Raw genomic sequence first — 17,882 nt, 5'->3', positions numbered from 1 at the left:
GGCAGCTCTGTGTGTCACACTGAAGGCCCTGGTGGAGTGGGTTCACAAGGGGATCTCCTGACTGGAGGGCTGCAAAGACTCACCAGAAAAGCATGGCTTCCCAGGGTCACACATCCACTCACTGCTTCCCTGGGCAGGGGAGGTTCTTCTTGCTCTGTGTCACTCCCAGGTGGTCCAGTGTCCTGCCTTGCTCTTCTCCATTCTCTGTGGGTTGAGTTGTTCCCTTGATTATTCCCAATGCGAGTAGATTGATGTTTCAGTTGAAGTGCTGTATTTACTCGCCCTTTCCCGTCCTCTCTGTGAGAGCCACACACACTAGCTGCTTCTAATAAGCCATCTTGGCCACCTCTCACCGAGTTATTCTTTTTTTTTTTTTTTCTTGAGACAGAGTCTCCCTCTGTCTCCCAGGCTAAAGTGCAGTGGCCCGATCTCAGTTCACTGCAACCTCCACCTCCCGGGTTCAAGCGATTCTCCTGCCTCAGCCTCCCAAGTTAATCTTAAGATAATGAAATCCTCCTCTAGCGACCCTGACGCAATCAGGTGAGTCGTCAATATGGACAAGTTTGTCCTGTTGACAGAGACTTTAAGCACAAGAGGAAACTAAAGTGAGGAGCATTCTCTGTTGCTGGACTTGAAGAGGGAGAAGGTCATGTGACAAAAAGTAGTTCAAGGCCAGGTGTGGTGGCTTATGCCTGTAATCCCAGAAGTTTGGAAGGCCGAGGCGGGCAGATCACCTGAGCTCAGGAGTTAGAGACCAGCCTGGCCAACATGGTGAAACCCCGTCTCTACTAAAAATACAAAAATCAGCCGGGCATGGTGGCACACGCCTGTGATCCCAGCTACTCGGGAGGTTGAGGCAGGAGAATAACTTGAACCCGGGAGGCGGAGGTTGCAGTGAGCCAAGATCACACCACTGTACTCCAGCCTGGGTGACAGAGTGAGACTCAAAAAAAAAAAAAATAAGTAGTTAATATGCACATTAAATATTGAGAAACGTTGATGTATTGAATGCATGTGGGGTTAGAATTGAAGGATTAGAGATGTCCTGGAAGGCTGGCCTTTCTGTGATGATAAAAATGGGGAGATAACGCTTGCTTGGTTGCAGGGCAGATAGTGGAGAAAACACAATCCGTTCAGGGCAGAACAATTGGGAGGAGGGCGTCCTGACAAGAACTGGGAGTCTGGGAGACCTGCCAAGAGTTCAGAGATCAGGGCAGTTACTGAACTCCTCTTAGGACCTACAGGGGGACAGTCTGTCTCTGCGCATAAGGGCCCTTTCAACAGGTAAGATTTAAATAGAGTCACATGCTCAGCGTGGATTTCTCTCAGAATATAAAGCTATTATTTAAGATGAGCAAGTTGGAGCATAATATATTTGATGTAACTGCATTTATATAAATTATTAAACAAAACAATACAAGAAATTATGGATATATATATATTTTTTAAAAATTTGAATGTGTATAGGAATGCAACAAAATGCTGTGAGATCCATTATGCGTGGGGAAGTAGAAAATTAGTTGTAAGACATGAGGGAGATTTGCTCTAACTATACCTGGAATTATTTTCTTTAAAAAATATATATATTATATATATAAAATTTTATATATATATATTTTAATGAAGCCCTTTATTCATATATATGGAATAAAGGGCTTCATTAAAAAGTTTGGAAAAAATATAACATTCATTAATTGTGGGTGGCAAGTGCATGTCTATATGTCATACATTTATCATTATTTAAAAATAGAAGTACTAGATTAATTTTAAACCAAAGTTGATACGTACAAAAATATCTATGAAACTTGTATACCTAGCTTCACCCATTAGGATATAAAGAACCTCTCTGACTTCCTAATTTGAGATTACAATAACTCCAAATCCCATCTATGCAGATTAGATGTCTGTCCATCTGTCTACTGGTATGTCATATTCCAGTAGAATCAACATTTAGAAGAACCTCCTTGAGATCAAAAGAAGTCACAACCACTCCTAGGTCCTGCTGTTGTTCCTGCTGCTGCCCTCATATTCTAGTCAGTGTGGACACACAAACAGGCAAGTGGATACGCAGAAAAACTAGCTGAAGGAAATATAAATGGAGCTGCTACCTTAATCATGGTGGTAAAGGAAATTTAATGATCTTACCCTCAAAATGTATTTTTTGACATATTTTGAAATGGCTGCCACTTGGCTAGCAAACAAAAGTGGCCCTGCAAAGCTGTCTTTTGTGGGGAAAATTTGGATCTGTAGAGAATTTCCTTCAATGCAGCCAGGCTGCCTCCCTTTCCTGTGCTTTTCCAGATCCTGAAGAAACTGGAGAGTCTGACACCTTTAAAGTATGAAGAGAAACATTTACCCTCTATTCTAAGGGAAGCTTCATCTACATAACAAGGTCACATTTGCTAGTCAAGCTTCTTTCTCTCTCTCATAACCTGTCTTTTCACTAAGCCTGATTTACCAATATAACCAGTTTCTGGCCATGTTCTGAGTCTGTATTCTTTACTGTGGCCTCAAGATGGTATATACATTTCTGTAACTCATTGGGAAGCTGGTCTTCATTCTTAAGGCTCCCACGTATAGAAGTTAAATAAATGTTTATGTCTCTTCTCCTATTAATCAATGTGCCTCATGCCAGTGACTTTTCGGTGAACCTTTCAGGGACTATGTGGTCAGGTAAGACCTCATGAAGATGTATTATTTGAGTTGAAAATAAAAAGATGAAGTGCAAGCCCTCCTTCAGTGTGCTGGGAAAAGCACTCTTAGCGGAGGGAAAGGCAAGTCCAAATGCCCTGATGGGAAAGGTGCTGTGTTTAAGATGCAAAAAATCCTATGACTGGAGGCTTGTGCTAGAGGTGGACGATCATGTATTTTAAGGCCAAAAATCTAGTCAGGGTCAAAAATCATAAGAATTGTTAGTTTTTAATCAGAGATTCTGATTTTATTGGAAGGGCAGTAGAAAGCCATTGAGGGATTTTTAGCAGACAAATTAAATAATCTCATTTGTGTTTTAAAAAGCTCATATTGGCTGAGAAATAGATAATGGATTAGAAAGAAAAGTAAACACAAAAGTAAATATATTACCAAGCCTTGCATGATGGGACACAGAGTTACATTATCTAGATGGTATTTCTAAAACAATATTGCATTGGGCAGCTGGTGACTCTCAGGGGATGGATGGCAGAAAGTATTAATAGAAGCACCTTCAGGATCTAAAGGACATAGGCTGGTGGTCCCAACAAACACCATGATTTACCAGTTTGATTCCTGCAGTAACCAAACAGATCCCAACGGAAGATATTAAGCTGCCACTACAAAGTACAAAGTAATAGTAGCCACAATTGCAGCCACCATGCCAAATATGGAATCCTTGCAAAAGCACATTAGCTTGGTCTAAGGTACCTATAATTGGCCATTGATTTATTGAATACACTCTTTTCTATTCTTAGCAGAAAAAGCAGTTCTGAAAAAATTCACATTCACAAGGCAGGAACGACAGCAAATGTTTCAAGTTTTGTCCCACAATTATGTTAACTGCCCCCAACCTCTGTTAAAATATAGTCCAAGGAAATCTAGATTATCTATGCATCTCACTCAACATCACATGATCCACTCCATCAATGATATGATGCTAACTGAGGAATGAGTAAGAAATAACTAGTGTAATTGTGGCAGGCCAGGTCTCCATTAGCAACCAGGGCAGTCATCCTTCACCACCACCTTAGTGTAAATCTGATGAGTGTATAACTTAAGCATTAAAGAACTGGAGAAACTGGTGCCTTAGTACAAGGGTTAGAATGTAAAAACAAGTCCATTAAGACCCCACCTGGGCTTTCTCAGACATTAGAGTTTAATTAATAAAAGGAGGCATTCTTGCACACCTTGTACCAAGACCCACTTTAGATTACATAATTGTTCCTAGGCTCTGAAGTAATTTCCAGATCTGAACCCTAGTTAAAGATTAGACAGAGTGAAACACTTCAGTTTGTAGGTGCTTTCCCACACGTAGGCATATGGTTTGAATGTATTATAAGCACTGGAGAAAAACTTGTAACTTTGAGTTGGTCTGTTGAGTTATTCTGGTTTTCTCCCTGTAACTGGTTGCAGAAACTCCCTTCTTGCCCAGTCTGTTTGCATCTTATGATTGAACCATGAGAACAAGCAGCTGGACCCCAGTTCTGTCTGGGAACATAACAGCCTGACAGGTTCTTCTTGCCCACTGTTTCCAAAACAGCCAATACATTGAGCATAGCAGGTGTTGCAGCCCAGAGTTCCATAATCACAGGGCCAGCCAAGTGAGGAGAATGGGAGATAATTCTCAAATCTGCCTCCCTAAGAACTTGGAGGTGAGGTTTTTTTTAAGGACAGTTTGGTGGGCAAGGGGCTATGGAATTTGATTTGCTGCTTGGTTGGGGATGAAATCATACGGGCATCAAAATTGCCTTCGTGCACTGAGTCAGTTTCTGGGTTGTCACAGGAGCAGTTGAGTCAGTTTTTTGATATGGGTCATGAGCCTGGTTGGCATCTGTTGGCCCAAAGAATGCAAACTCTAAAAAATATTGCAAACACCAGTCAGGTTTTGCAATAGCAATGCTGTCTCTCGGGGCAATTAGGGAAGTTACAAATTTTGTGACCTCTGGCTACATGACTCCTGAGCAGTAAATCTATTAGGAGACAATGACTAGTTATTATTTAACTATGCCTAGCATTAGCAGAATTCAGGATCTTACTGTAATTCTAAAATTATGGCCTTTTATTAGCTTTACAAGGAGCGACTTCAGTACCTGAATAAGTGGGAGATTAGTTTTGGGAAGAGACTACTATCATTCTTGCTTTAAACTATAAACTAAATTCTTCCCATAGTTAGCTTGTCCTACATGTACGGATGGGCAAAGGCAGTTTGCTTGCGAGGTTAGAAACAAGACAGAGTCAGCTATGTTAGATTTATCTAACTGTTACAATTTTTGAAAGGCAATTTCAATGACATGTCAGAAACCTTAGTAAATGTGTGCACTTTTGAGTGAAGGAGATGAATCCTGCTAAGATTCAAGGGCCTCTCATCTCATTATAATTTTTAGGACACATAGGTTAGGTATATGATGGGACATCTTAGCCAATGTAAAAAGCAAATTATTGCATCTCTCACCTACCACCACAGAGAAGGAATCATTCTACCTGGTAGACTTCTTCAGGATCTGGAAACAGCGTTTTCTACACTCGAGAATATTGCTATGGCCTATAATTTAATCGTGCAGAAGGCTGGCAGATTTGAGGGTGACCCAGAACAGAAAAGGGCTCTTCAGAGATCTAGACTATGATGTAAGCAGCCCTGCCATGAGTGGGTTCTGTCCAGATTGAGTCCTAAGATTAAGCATCGCTTATATGGCACATGGTGTCAGATGAATGTATGTAGTCACATCAATGGCTAAGCATAAGCAAGACAAGAGGGCACAAGCAAGCTGCATGAGCAAGCATCTCAGAGCCCTGTGACACTCCTCACTGCTGCACCAGTGCCAACTCTCTTGAGATCACTCCAGTGGCCCTATGAGAGATCCACAACCAAATGAAGGAGGAGGAAATACCCCTAGCTTAGCTCATGGATAATTTGCTTAGATATGTGGATGCAAGGTAAAAATAGTCTGTAGTTGCATTACCTCCTTTCTCAGGAGTGACCTTAAAATAGAGTGGTAAAGAAAATTGCTCCCAATGGGCAGAGCTTCAAACAGTAAAACTGGTCATCTATTGTGTGTGGGAAGAGAAATAGTCTGGGATTAGAATTATGTGTGAATTCATGAGCCATGACCAACGGACTGGACAATGGGACAGGTGCCTGCAGGGAGAAAGATTAGAGACTGGGGAAAAGGAGATCTGAATGGAGAGAGATATATGGAAGTGAGCATAATGTTTGAAGATCTTTGTATCCCATATTATTTCCCAGTAGCAATCATTCACCATGGAAGAAACAATAAACCATCAATCAACAAATGGTTTCATCCAGTTGATGTCAGCCAGCCTCTGATATTGAGCATCCCATGCTGGCATGATGGCAACAGGAGTAAAACAGCCAAATTGGCGGAGATGGAGATTATGCATGGATCCCTCTGAATTAACTCCTAACCACAAATAATCTGCTTCATTCTCTCTTGCTCCCACATATAATTTCCTCTTATAATCATTGACACTGACAATATTCATTTCCTACTGATTAATTTTACCCTCACTCAGAGGAAAGTAGCCCAGTCCTGTGAACCATTACAAAATAAATCAACATATAGATTCACATTGTGTATCTAAATAAACAACTTACAAGTGGACCAGGAAAATCCCATTGGGATTCAGGAATGAAAATCATTTATTGTTAGAGAAGGCATAATGAGAAATAAGCAATTTAATTAGATGTTCAATAACTCGAAGGCATATTTTTAAGTTCACATGGATTTTATTGTTTAAAATTTGTGCCCTGATTCTGAATAAGAGCATGACTGATGAATGTGTTTTAAAGTATTTCTGAGACCATAATTGTGACTGTATTCAAAACATCCAAATCTTGACTAGGTCTCTTCAGAGCTCTTTGACTTTAGGCAAAAGAAATAATCAATTTCTCAATATGAATAAGTAACCAACAAAAGCTCAGTGAGACCTTCCAACTTCTCAAAATGGAAGAAATTAATTACTTTATACCTAGTTTCCAATCTGGTTTGTTTCTAACTTAAGCCAGTAACTCCTTCAGCTACTTAAAATCATGCTTCCAGTTGTCAAGGTAGTTACAGTTTTCTTTTTCATTTTTTAAAAATGATGGGTGTTCAAATGATTGCTACCTGAATGATAAGGAACACTCTAAGAGTAGAGAAGGTGATTAATTCTGAGATGGTCTATATATATTAGGAGTTCATTTGAATCAGACCATTCAGTAAATCAATCAATAACCTTCCCCCAATGTCTTCATATGTTAATATTCCTCCAGGTCTGCACGCAATTTTTATTTCATAGCATGCTGTCAAAAGAAAAAGAATGTTCCTGAGAAATGTATCAACAGTGACTATACTTTAGAAGAATAACTTTTACTTCATTAGGTAAACCTCCCTTTCACAGGCCAGAGCCATGACATGAAGTGAGTAGTGGTTATGAAGTGAGTAGTGGTTATGAAGCTTATTAGCTCAAATGGGATCACTGAGTAAAAGGAGAACTAGCTTCAATGCAGACTTCCTAAAATGTATGAGCAGAAGACTCATAATTGGTTTTTCTATTTCCATCTGCCAACTGAACATCCCTGAATGACTCACAAGTGCTTTTCCAAAACTAAAAAATGTAGTCATTATCACTTGTTTATTCTCCCTGCCTCCTCATAACCAAATAGCCATCAAATCTCACCATACCATACTACTTTTGTTCATAAATTCTCTCTTCCTATCCATCCACTTACCTTTACCTTTCTAGTCTCTTTTTTAAGAAAAAAAAATGTATTAGTCAGATTTGTCTTTCTATATCTGGTCTCTCCTGAGAACTTCCTTTGCACAGCTGATTGGATTCTCTTTCGAAAACAGCAATTCCTTGTGTCATTTCCAGTTTGGAAATGCACCAGTGGCTTCCCATCACCCATAAAACTGGGAACAGTATGAAGGGTTAGTTGGCAACAAGACCTCACCTGATTTTCAGCCTCAATTCTGCTGGTTCTTGGTTTTCACAAGGACTGTCTATGTTCCAGCAGAACAAGATGGTTTCACTGACCAAATGTCCCTGTCCTTTAATGACTGTGTGTCTTTGTATGGGGTAGTCTGCAGTTTTTTTCCACTCTTTCCATCTGTGCTTTTCAACAGCCCTCTGGAATGTGCGGTCTTCTTCAATATCCACAAATAGACTATTTCTTCTATCATTTGGTAGCACTTTGCACTTGCTGTTATTACAGGAATCATCACAATTCCTTGAGACAGAATGAAGCTTTCATGAGTAAATTGATAATACCTAGGACAGGGTATCTAGCACTTTCTCAATAAGTATTTTTTGATGAGTAAATATATGAATAAAAGAATTATTGTCACAGGCCTCCCCTCTTTTTCTTCTCCTTCTCCCAACTCGATGATGATATAAGTAAGATTAAGCTGAAATCTTGGGGGGTGTGTATCTGCGCTCTCTGTACTTTTGTTTCAGCACAAGTTATCTTTCCTTACCCAGGTCCAGGAGTTGATTTTTTCATATCTTCTCTCCAAATAACCTCTTCAATGCTCACAGCTACCTAAATTTCCCTATTTATTTCAGAAAAAAATCCCTCTGATAATTATTGAATTAAATTATAAGTAAAAACTACATTATCACATGTTAAAACATGCCTTCAAGAAGTATAGACATTCAAAATTCTTAAATATTTGCTTCATATTTTCAAATTAGGAAAAAAAAAAGCTAATTTAAGTTTTTATGTAGCATCGTACTCTGTGTCATTCCTGTTTCATTCTTCTCCCTTGTTCCTTTCCCACTGTTCAGCCCTGTCAGAAGCAACCTGCATTATGACTGCATTTCATAGCTTTTTACACACACACACACACACACACACACACACACAGAGTCATTTCTGAGAAACACATATATATATATGTATGTGTGTGTGTATATATATCTATATACACACAGTTGGCCTTCTGTATCAATGGGTTCCACATTCCCAAAGTCAACCAACAGCAGATTGAAAGTTTCGGAAAAAATAATAAAAAATAGCATTACAACAATTAAAAATACAAATTTTAAAAATACAGTGTAGCAACATTGCATTCACATTGTATTAGGTATTACAAATAATCTAGAGATGATTTAAAGTGTACAAGGTGGGGAATGGTGGCTCATGCCTGTAATCTTATCACTTTGGGAAACCAAAGCAGGAGGGTCACTTGAGGCCAGGAGTTCAAGACCAACCTGGGTGACATAGCAAGACCTTTTCTCTACAAAAAATAAAGTATACAGGAGGATGTGCATAGGTTATATGCAAATACTGCACCATTTTATATAAGAAACTTGAGCATCCATAGATTTTGGTATAGGGTAGGGGTGCTCTGAAACCAATACCTGGCAGATTCCCAGGGATGGCTGTATAGCATTCGTTTAAATTTAGTACAACCTATTTACAAATACAGATCCTCCTCTTGCATCGTTGTAAAGTTGAAAAACTGTAGGTGGAACCATCTTAAGTCAGGGACCATCTGTATAACTTTTTGAGCATGATTATTTTTAATTTATATAAATAAGATCACTATAGACATATTACGCCACATTCAAAATGTACTGTAATGTCTATTCCTATGTAACTATTGAGACACATTCTTCTTTTCACCTGATATATAGGAATTTAAATTGTATTCAACATTATAGTAATTAGCAGTTTTGAAGACTATTTAGGCCATATGTATTTTTAGGTTTACAAATATTGCTCCAACAAACATTCCATTGTACCTGTGTACAGCATATTTAAAGAATATAAATATATATACACACAAACACAAACACACACACACACATATATATGCACACATACATGCACATGCATACATATATTTTTTGCTGTTCATTTTCTATTTTAATAGATATTTAAAATTTGTCCTTCAAATTTTATACTAATTTACATTTCTATCAAAAATTCTAACCTTATTATATACATGGTAAATATATTTTCCTAATTGATCCTATTTCCTTTAAGTATGTTTATGGCATCTTGTTGTTGTTAAAAAAGCCTGTGATTTCAATGAAGTTAGATTGCACTGTACTTCTTCTATGGTTAGTGATTTTTCTTTTTTTTTTTTTTTTGACAGGGTCTCACTATGTCACCCAGGCTGGAGTGCAATGGCGCAATCTCAGCCCACTGCAACCTCTGCCTCCCGGGTTCAAGTGATTCTCCTGCCTCAGCCTCCCAAGTAGCTGGGATTACAGGCGCCCGCCACCACACCCGGCTACTTTATGTATTTTTAGTAGAGATGGGGTTTCACCATGTTGGCCAGGCTGGTCTCGAACTCCAGACCTCAGGTGATCCACCCACCTCGGCCTCCCAAAGTGCTGGGATTACAGGCGTGAGCCACCACACTCGGCTGGTTAGTGATTTTTCTTTTGCTGTCTTCCTAAATAATATATTATTTACCTTGATGCCACATATGCATTCTTCTTTATTTCTTCTAATACTTTTGATGTGACCTCTTTCATATTTTCCTTTTAAATTTATCTTTTTTTTTTTTGCTTATAATGTGGGGAGGATATTATTTTATTTAGAATTATAATATCACATCCAACACATTATCTATGTATGTTAGAGTGGTTTCTTCAGTTCTTGGATTATTTATCTCATTAAGGCATTTAATTTATGAAAATGTTGAATATTTTATTGGCATACATATTATGTATGTTTCAAAACGTGCATAATATTAAATGTGCATCTCGATAAATTTTATTACCACTCTGATCAAGAAATATTATATCAACATGGAAGTTCTGCTCAAATTCTAATTATCACAAGAGAGAAATACTTTCTAACTTCTGACCCAAAATATACCTATAATTATAATTAAAATAAAAATGAGTTAAACTCAACTCAATGAGTTAAAAAGATTATCAGATTATATCAAATAAAACCAAACCAAAAATAATTAGTTATATGCTGCCTAAATTAAATAGGTCAGTTGTAAATAAGGTTATTTTAAAAAAAGATAAAGTAGGCATGTTCTAATAAAAATCAAGGGTATTATTAATGTCAATATAAGAAAGAGAAATTAAAGAAACATATAAGTTACTAGAACTATAGATTAATTATAATTTCATTTAAAATGGACATAAATGAGGCTGGGTGTGGTGGCTCACACCTGTAATCCCAGCACTTTAGGAGGCCAAGTTGGGTGGATCACCTGAGGTCAAGAGTCTGAGACCAGCCTGGCCAATATGGTGAAACCCCATCTCTACTAAAAATACAAAAATTAGCCGGGTGTGGTGGCATGTGCCTGTAATCCCAGCTACTCGGGAGGTTGAGGCCCGAGAATCGCTTGAACTTGGGTGGCAGAGGTTGCAGTGAGCCAAGATTGCACTACTGCGCTCCAGCCTGGGTGATAGAGTGAGACTCCATCTCAAAAAAATAAATAAATAAAAGAAAAAATAAGTAAAAATAAATAAATAAAATTGATATAAATGGAATCATGTTGTCTGTATTCATTTCTGCTTATTCTGTTGGATATGGCAATTCTTTGTCTATTTTCATTGCTTTATAGTATTGCATTATATGAACATACCAAAATTTTTTATCTGTTCTAGTGTTTATAAACACTTGAATTGTTTACACTTACAGTCACATGAACATTGCACCTATGAAGATTCCTGTGTATACATTTTTGTGAACATATGCATAACATTCTGTGGGGCATATACCTGACAGTGGAACTGCTGGGTTATACAGTACGCAAATGTTTAGCTTTAGTGGATCTGTAAAAGAGATTTTTGAGGGACTGTACCAATTTACACTCCCACCAGTAAGATATGAGAAATTTTGATAATAAAGAGTTTTTTTCTTCTGTTTTTAATTGTATTCACTCTTAATATGCAGGCATTAGCATCAGGTCATAGTTCTAGAATAATTAATGATGCCAAGCACATTGTCACATTTACTAGCAGTTTTGATAGATTTATTGTAAAGTGCATTTGCCCAGTTTTAAAATTGTCTTGTATGCCTTTGTCTTGGTATTGCTAGAAATTCAGAAATCTTCTCTCTCCTGTGGTTTGACTCTCACAGGCTTAATCATATATTTTTATGAGCAGAATGTCTTTTTAGCATAATTCAATATATCAATAATTTTCTTTACGGTTAGAATTGTTTATGTCCAGTTTTGAAAAAAACAACTTTGCTTACCCCAAGATTATAAAACTATGATCACATATTATCTTTTATGACTTTATTGTTCTGCCATTCATATTAGATTTACAATTCACCTAAAATTGATTTCGACATATGGTGTAAAATAGAAGATTCATTTTTTCTATAGGAATATTTAATTGACACAGCATAATTTGTTGGAAAGTCTATTTTTTTTCTTTTATTGTTCTATTTGTGTATTTTTACACTAATTCTACACTGTCTTCCTTACTAGAGTATCATAATAAATGCAACACCTTCACAAGTATAAATTGTCCACCTTCTTCTTCAAGAGTGTTTTGCCTTTCCTAGGTCTTTTGCATTTCCCAGTATAGTTTAGATTCAGTTTGAAATTTTTCAGCCAAAAATGCAGCTTAGATTTAAATTATGATTGTAGTAAACCAATGGATCAATTTAGGGAAAAACACAACTTAATTTCGCTGAGTTTTTTACTGCTTAACATAGAATATAACTTTATATATTTAAGTCTTTTGTACATTCTGTCAGTAATATTTTGTAGTTCTCCTTGTTAATACCTTTTAAGGGTTTTTTAGTTTTTTTTCTAGAGTTATATTATGGTATTATAAATGGCATCCGATTTTCAAATTTTATAGTTCTTTGTGGCAATATACATACAAAAATTATTTTTCTTTATCGATCTTGAGTACAATGATCTTACTAAATTCACTCAGTAGTTCTCATAATTTATCTATACATTTATTTATACCTTCTAAGTACACATTCAAGTCATGAGTGGGTACTAAATTACAACAAGTGAACTTTTTGCAAATGTTGAAATAATCAGATGTATTCTCTCATTTGTTTTGCGACTATGATAAGTTAAATTGTTCAATTTTTAAATGTTGAGCCAACCTTGTGTTCCTGGAATAAAACCAATTTATTTTTGGTGTATCATCCTATTAATATATCCCTGGAAATAAATAAATAGCTAGTCCATCCAGAATTCTTTGTATCTACGCTTATGAGAAAGACAGGTCAGCAATTCTCCTTTCTTATAATGTCTTAACTGGTTTGGGCTTCAAGTTTGTTCTAATCTCACAAAAGTTTTCTTCATTAATTAGGTATTCATTTTTTAAATAGATATAGGACTATTTAGAACTTATATTTCTTCTGGTGTATTTTCTACTAAGTTGCAGTTTTTGGGAAATTTTATCCATCTCATCTAAGTTTCCAAATTGATTCATATATAACAATTCATAATCTCTTATTAACTTTTTATGTATGCGTATTGTGATATGGATGATTTGTGCATTATACATGCTTTGTCTTGGTTATTCTTTCTAGCAGTTTATCAAACATATTTGTTTTCTCAAAAGACCAACTCTTTGCTCTATTGATTTTCTCAATAGTGTATTAATACTTTGACTTTGAATAACTTTTTTAACTTTTATTTTAACTTTTATTTTCTTTACAGTTAGTTTGATGTTTATTTACTAACATTACTAATGTAGTTCCTCTCTCTTGCTCTGTTTTAAAAAAAAACAGGATCACTGTTCTTTTTTTTTGTATAGTACTTTTTTTTAGCTCTATCAATATGTGTGGTAGGCAGAATAAGTAGTCCCCCAAAGTTGGATTAGTCCCCCTAATCTGTGGAAACTGTAAACGTGTTACCTTACATGGCAAAAAGACTTTGAAAATGTGATTAAATTAAGGATATTTCAATGGAGAGACTGTCCTGAATTATGTGCATGGGCCCAAAGGCTCTTATACAGAAAAGAAGGAGGCAAAAGAGTGAGACAAGGAGATGTGGCCATGAAAGCAGAAGTCACGGAGGTTAAAAGATGCACCACTGCTGGCTTTGAAGATGGAGATAGGAGCAAAAACCTAAGAATTACAAGTAGAATTGAGAGGCTGAAACAGGCAAGAAAAAGAATTCTATCCAAGGTTATTCCCAAAATGCCAGTCCTGCCAACACCTGGACTTTGGCCCAGTGAGAAGGATTTTGGACTTTAGACCTCCACAACTATAAGATAAAAAATCTGGGTTAATTTTAAGTTACTACATGTGTGGTAGTTTGTATTACCACAGTATTGAAAAACTAATAAAGCATGTTTCAACACTTTGCTGTTAAGATTTTATTTTGAACCTTACTTTTTTAAACTACAGTATTGTTTCCTCAGCTACAACCTTAGTGGTCCTTTCCAGATGGGTGGATAATAAGCTTTTATAGTCTTTATATTTCTTAAATGCCTTCACTCTGACACCCACCACATAGTATAATGGTATAACTATCATAAAGGATTCTAAACTGAATACTTTAAGGATAATAGTTTATTGACCTTATTTATTTTTAGTGATAAAATCTATTGTCAAAGTAATCGCTGTTACTTTGTGGAAAATCTGCCTTCTTCCCCCCCTCATAGGCATTAAATTTATTTACCCTTTGTCTTTGGTATTAGCAGATATTTCCTCTCTCCTTTTTAAAGGCAATTATATTTTTAACATAAAATAGATTTTAATCTGTCTGTCATGTGTGTTTGGAACAGATAGGAAAAGTTTTCTTTTGTTTGGTTGGTTTTTAAAATTTTCTCCCAGTTATGTGTACCTAGAAGTGCCTTAGAGATACTTGAATAAGAAATGGAATAGCTGTATCGGCACTTCTTAAAATATCACAGCTATTAAAACACATCCCTGTTAGTTTAATGCATTTGTGCATTCTTAGGTAACTGGTAAATTGCCTCATTTGTATCGTTTCAAACTTTTGTTAGTATATCTTATTTTGTACTAATGTTTTCCCCCTCTTTATCATTTTTTCTAAAGACTGAATACTTCAATATCTAGGTAAAATACATGTAAATGCTTAAGTTTACAATTCTAATAAGTTTATTTAAGTTGTAATGACAGACACAAGACTCTTAAGATATATTATACCACAGAGAAATACAAATCAAAACCACAATGAGATATCATCTCACACAAGTTAGAATGGCGATCATTAACAAGTCAGGAAAAAAACAGGTGCTGGAGAGGATGTGGAGAAATAGGAACACTTTTACACTGTTGGTGGGACTGTGAACTAGTTCAACCATTATGGAAGACAGTGTGGCGATTCCTCAAAGATCTAGAATTAGAAATACCGTTTGACCCAGCCATCCCATTACTGGGTATATACCCAAAGGATTATAAATCATGCTGCTATAAAGACACATGCACACGTATGTTTATTGCAGCACTATTCACAATAGCAAAGACTTGGAACCAACCCAAATGTCCAACAATGATAGACTGGATTAAGAAAATGTGGCGCATGTACACCATGGAATACTATGCAGCCATAAAAAATGATGAGTTTATGACCTTTGTAGGGACATGGATGAAGCTGGAAACCATCATTCTCAGCAAACTATGGCAAGGACAAAAAAAGCAGACACTGCATGTTCTCACTCATAGGTGGGAATTGAACAATAAGAACACTTGGACACAGGAAGAGGAACATCATACACCGGGGCCTGTTGTGGGGTTGGGGGAGGCGGGAGGGGTAGCATTAGGAGATATACCTAATGTAAATGACGAGTTAATGGGTGCAGCACACCAACATGGCACATGTATACACACGTAACAAACCTGCACATTGTGCACATGTACCCTGGAACTTAAAGTATAATAATAAAAAAAGAAAGAAAGTTACATGCCCCAAACAAAGGCTGTATAGAGTAAAACATTTCAGAGTGGGCAGCAACTTGGAAGGTTCCAAGACAATTTTTTTTTCAGAAATAAGCAATAAGCTATATGACATGTTAAAAAAAAGAAACTACAAATCGTAATTTGAATTTGTTTCTATTTTTATTTTCCAAGTTTTTATGATCACAACATATGAAATAAACATTTCTATTATAATTAAAATATATATGTTATACCACAATTGATTAAAAAGAAGATTATATCCTTTAAGAAGCAAAGTGAAGAAGGTGAAAGAAAGCAAAACAAAATGCTCTATTTTCAACCCCAGGCATGGTATTCACATTTTCTAAATGTTTCTATAAAATGTAGATAATACCGACTTAGCAAAATTGTTTCAATGTTTAAATAAAATAACTAAGTGAGGTAATTAAGGAAAAATAATTATCTGCCATTAGCAAATCTTCCACCTATGTTTGTATGCATACACACACACACACACACACACTTACTTTAGCTCTCCTCTCCCTGTGAAATTTTAAAAATAAAATTAATATTCCTTAAGTCTCATTAAAAGAACAATTCTGTTTTAAAATTATAGGTTTTTCACTTAACATAATGACCTCTAGTTTCATTTATCTTGTTTCAAATGACAAGATCTCATTCTTTTTTTATGGCTGAATAGTACTCCATTGTATGTAGTGGTTACATAGCATCAATTTATGTAGATAGCATATAAGACTAATTCAAAAATATCTTCGGTCAAAATGACCAGGACTGTTTATTGGGGCAAATGCACACACACATTGGTCAAGGAGAAGGGACTGATCATTAGAACCTCCCTGAGTGAGGCTGCCCCCTTAAGCCCTAGGCAGTCTCATTCAGCTGGACACAGCTTTGAAATGCTCCCCTTCCTCCTTGCTAGCCCTGCCAACAAAATCCTCATTCTGGCAATTGTCTGATATCAGTAGTTGTAGAAAAATACTCTATACTAATCCACAAAAAAATCAACACTAATATCAGCGACTGTGAAGTCATAAATGTGAAGTTAAAATCCTGTGTCACCAACAAACACTGAACTCCAGCTTCTAGGTCTGTTCCACCTTCAGAAAAAAAAAGAGGAAGAAGAAGATAGAAGAAGAAGAAGAAGAAGAGGAAGAGGAAGAAGAAGAAGAAAGCAGAGGAAGAGGAAGAAGAAGAACAAGAAGAAGAAGAAGAAAGAAGAAGAAGAAGAAGAAGAAGAAGAAGAAGAAGAAGAAGAAGAAGAAGAAGAAGACGACGACGACGACAATGGCCTTTTGCAAACATTACCAGGATTACATGAGATGGTGTGTGTGAGAATGGGCCATATGTGAGATGTGACCCATAGATTCACCTTGCAGACCCTATCCTACAAGAGATAAACACTTAGAAAACTGAGTACTGAATCTGAAGCTTAGTTTGAATTCAGTACATGCACTGATCGTTATTTTTAAGTTATAGAACTCCATATTATGGTTGACTATCATAACAAAATATCCTCAATAAGCATAAACATCTAACAAGTTTCATAAGATTTTTGACATTTTATACAATTCAGTTTTGATAGGATGTCTTGGCCACACACAATACATGGATACTGGCAACCTGTGGAAGCTAAAACTCAGACACAAAATAAAGCATGGGGCATGTGTGTGTGTGACTAAGACCTTAGAGAGTCGCTCAGATCACGTAGAGGATGAACCTTCTATTTTTTTTTCAAACGCACTAATCCTTGTACCAATGCTTACCATAACCTCCTTAACAAATTTGTTGTAATTCACATAGTAATGACTTTCAGTGCAACATTCTATGGAAATTAACAACTCTCTGACAAGCGGCAGCCTGCAGTTTATGTGCCACTAATATGCAGTTAAGTAGTTTGGGCTACTCAGACATCTGGCCCACGTGAAACAGCTGGAGAAGCACAGCTATTAACCTTTTGCTTACAAAGAGAAGCTTTCCTACAGGTGCTAAAATGTTATGGGAGACTTGAAAATGCCTTGTAATGGCTCAGACAACTTTTCTAATTGCAGGTGATGGCATTATGCCTTCCTTTCCTCAACAGTGGTGTGGAGAATCCTGTCTAGCTTCTCCTGCTTGATCTATGTCACTTTGTGTACATGCTATTAAATTTAAGTTTATCAGATTCAGGGAGAGAAGATCTTTACAGACAAAAACGTTATGCTGTATCCGAAGCCAAAGAAGCACTGCCTTAACTGGTAAGAACACTTGAGAAGGAGAAATTCTATCAACATGTGGGAAGTGCAGGAAAACAGAACTAATGTTTTTGAAGAGCTAGTCGGGTGTATGTTAACTATGTTTTATTTGTGTATTTTCACTTTTTAACATTCACTGA

The 17,882-nt window shown here is 36.5% G+C and overlaps 1 annotated feature.

The window, feature by feature from the left end:
• Nucleotides 3,912-3,961: an enhancer, noted in NCBI's record as "active region_16474". NCBI's record gives its function as "activates an Ori minimal core promoter by ATAC-STARR-seq in GM12878 lymphoblastoid cells {active_cell/tissue: GM12878}" and the evidence as "EXISTENCE:reporter gene assay evidence [ECO:0000049][PMID:35858748]".

The sequence above is a fragment of the Homo sapiens genome, chromosome 2, assembly GCF_000001405.40.
Source record: "Homo sapiens chromosome 2, GRCh38.p14 Primary Assembly".
Lineage (NCBI taxonomy): Eukaryota > Metazoa > Chordata > Mammalia > Primates > Hominidae > Homo > Homo sapiens.
The sequence above is the reverse complement of the archived record's forward strand: the minus strand, read 5'-3'. Positions and strand labels throughout refer to the sequence as shown.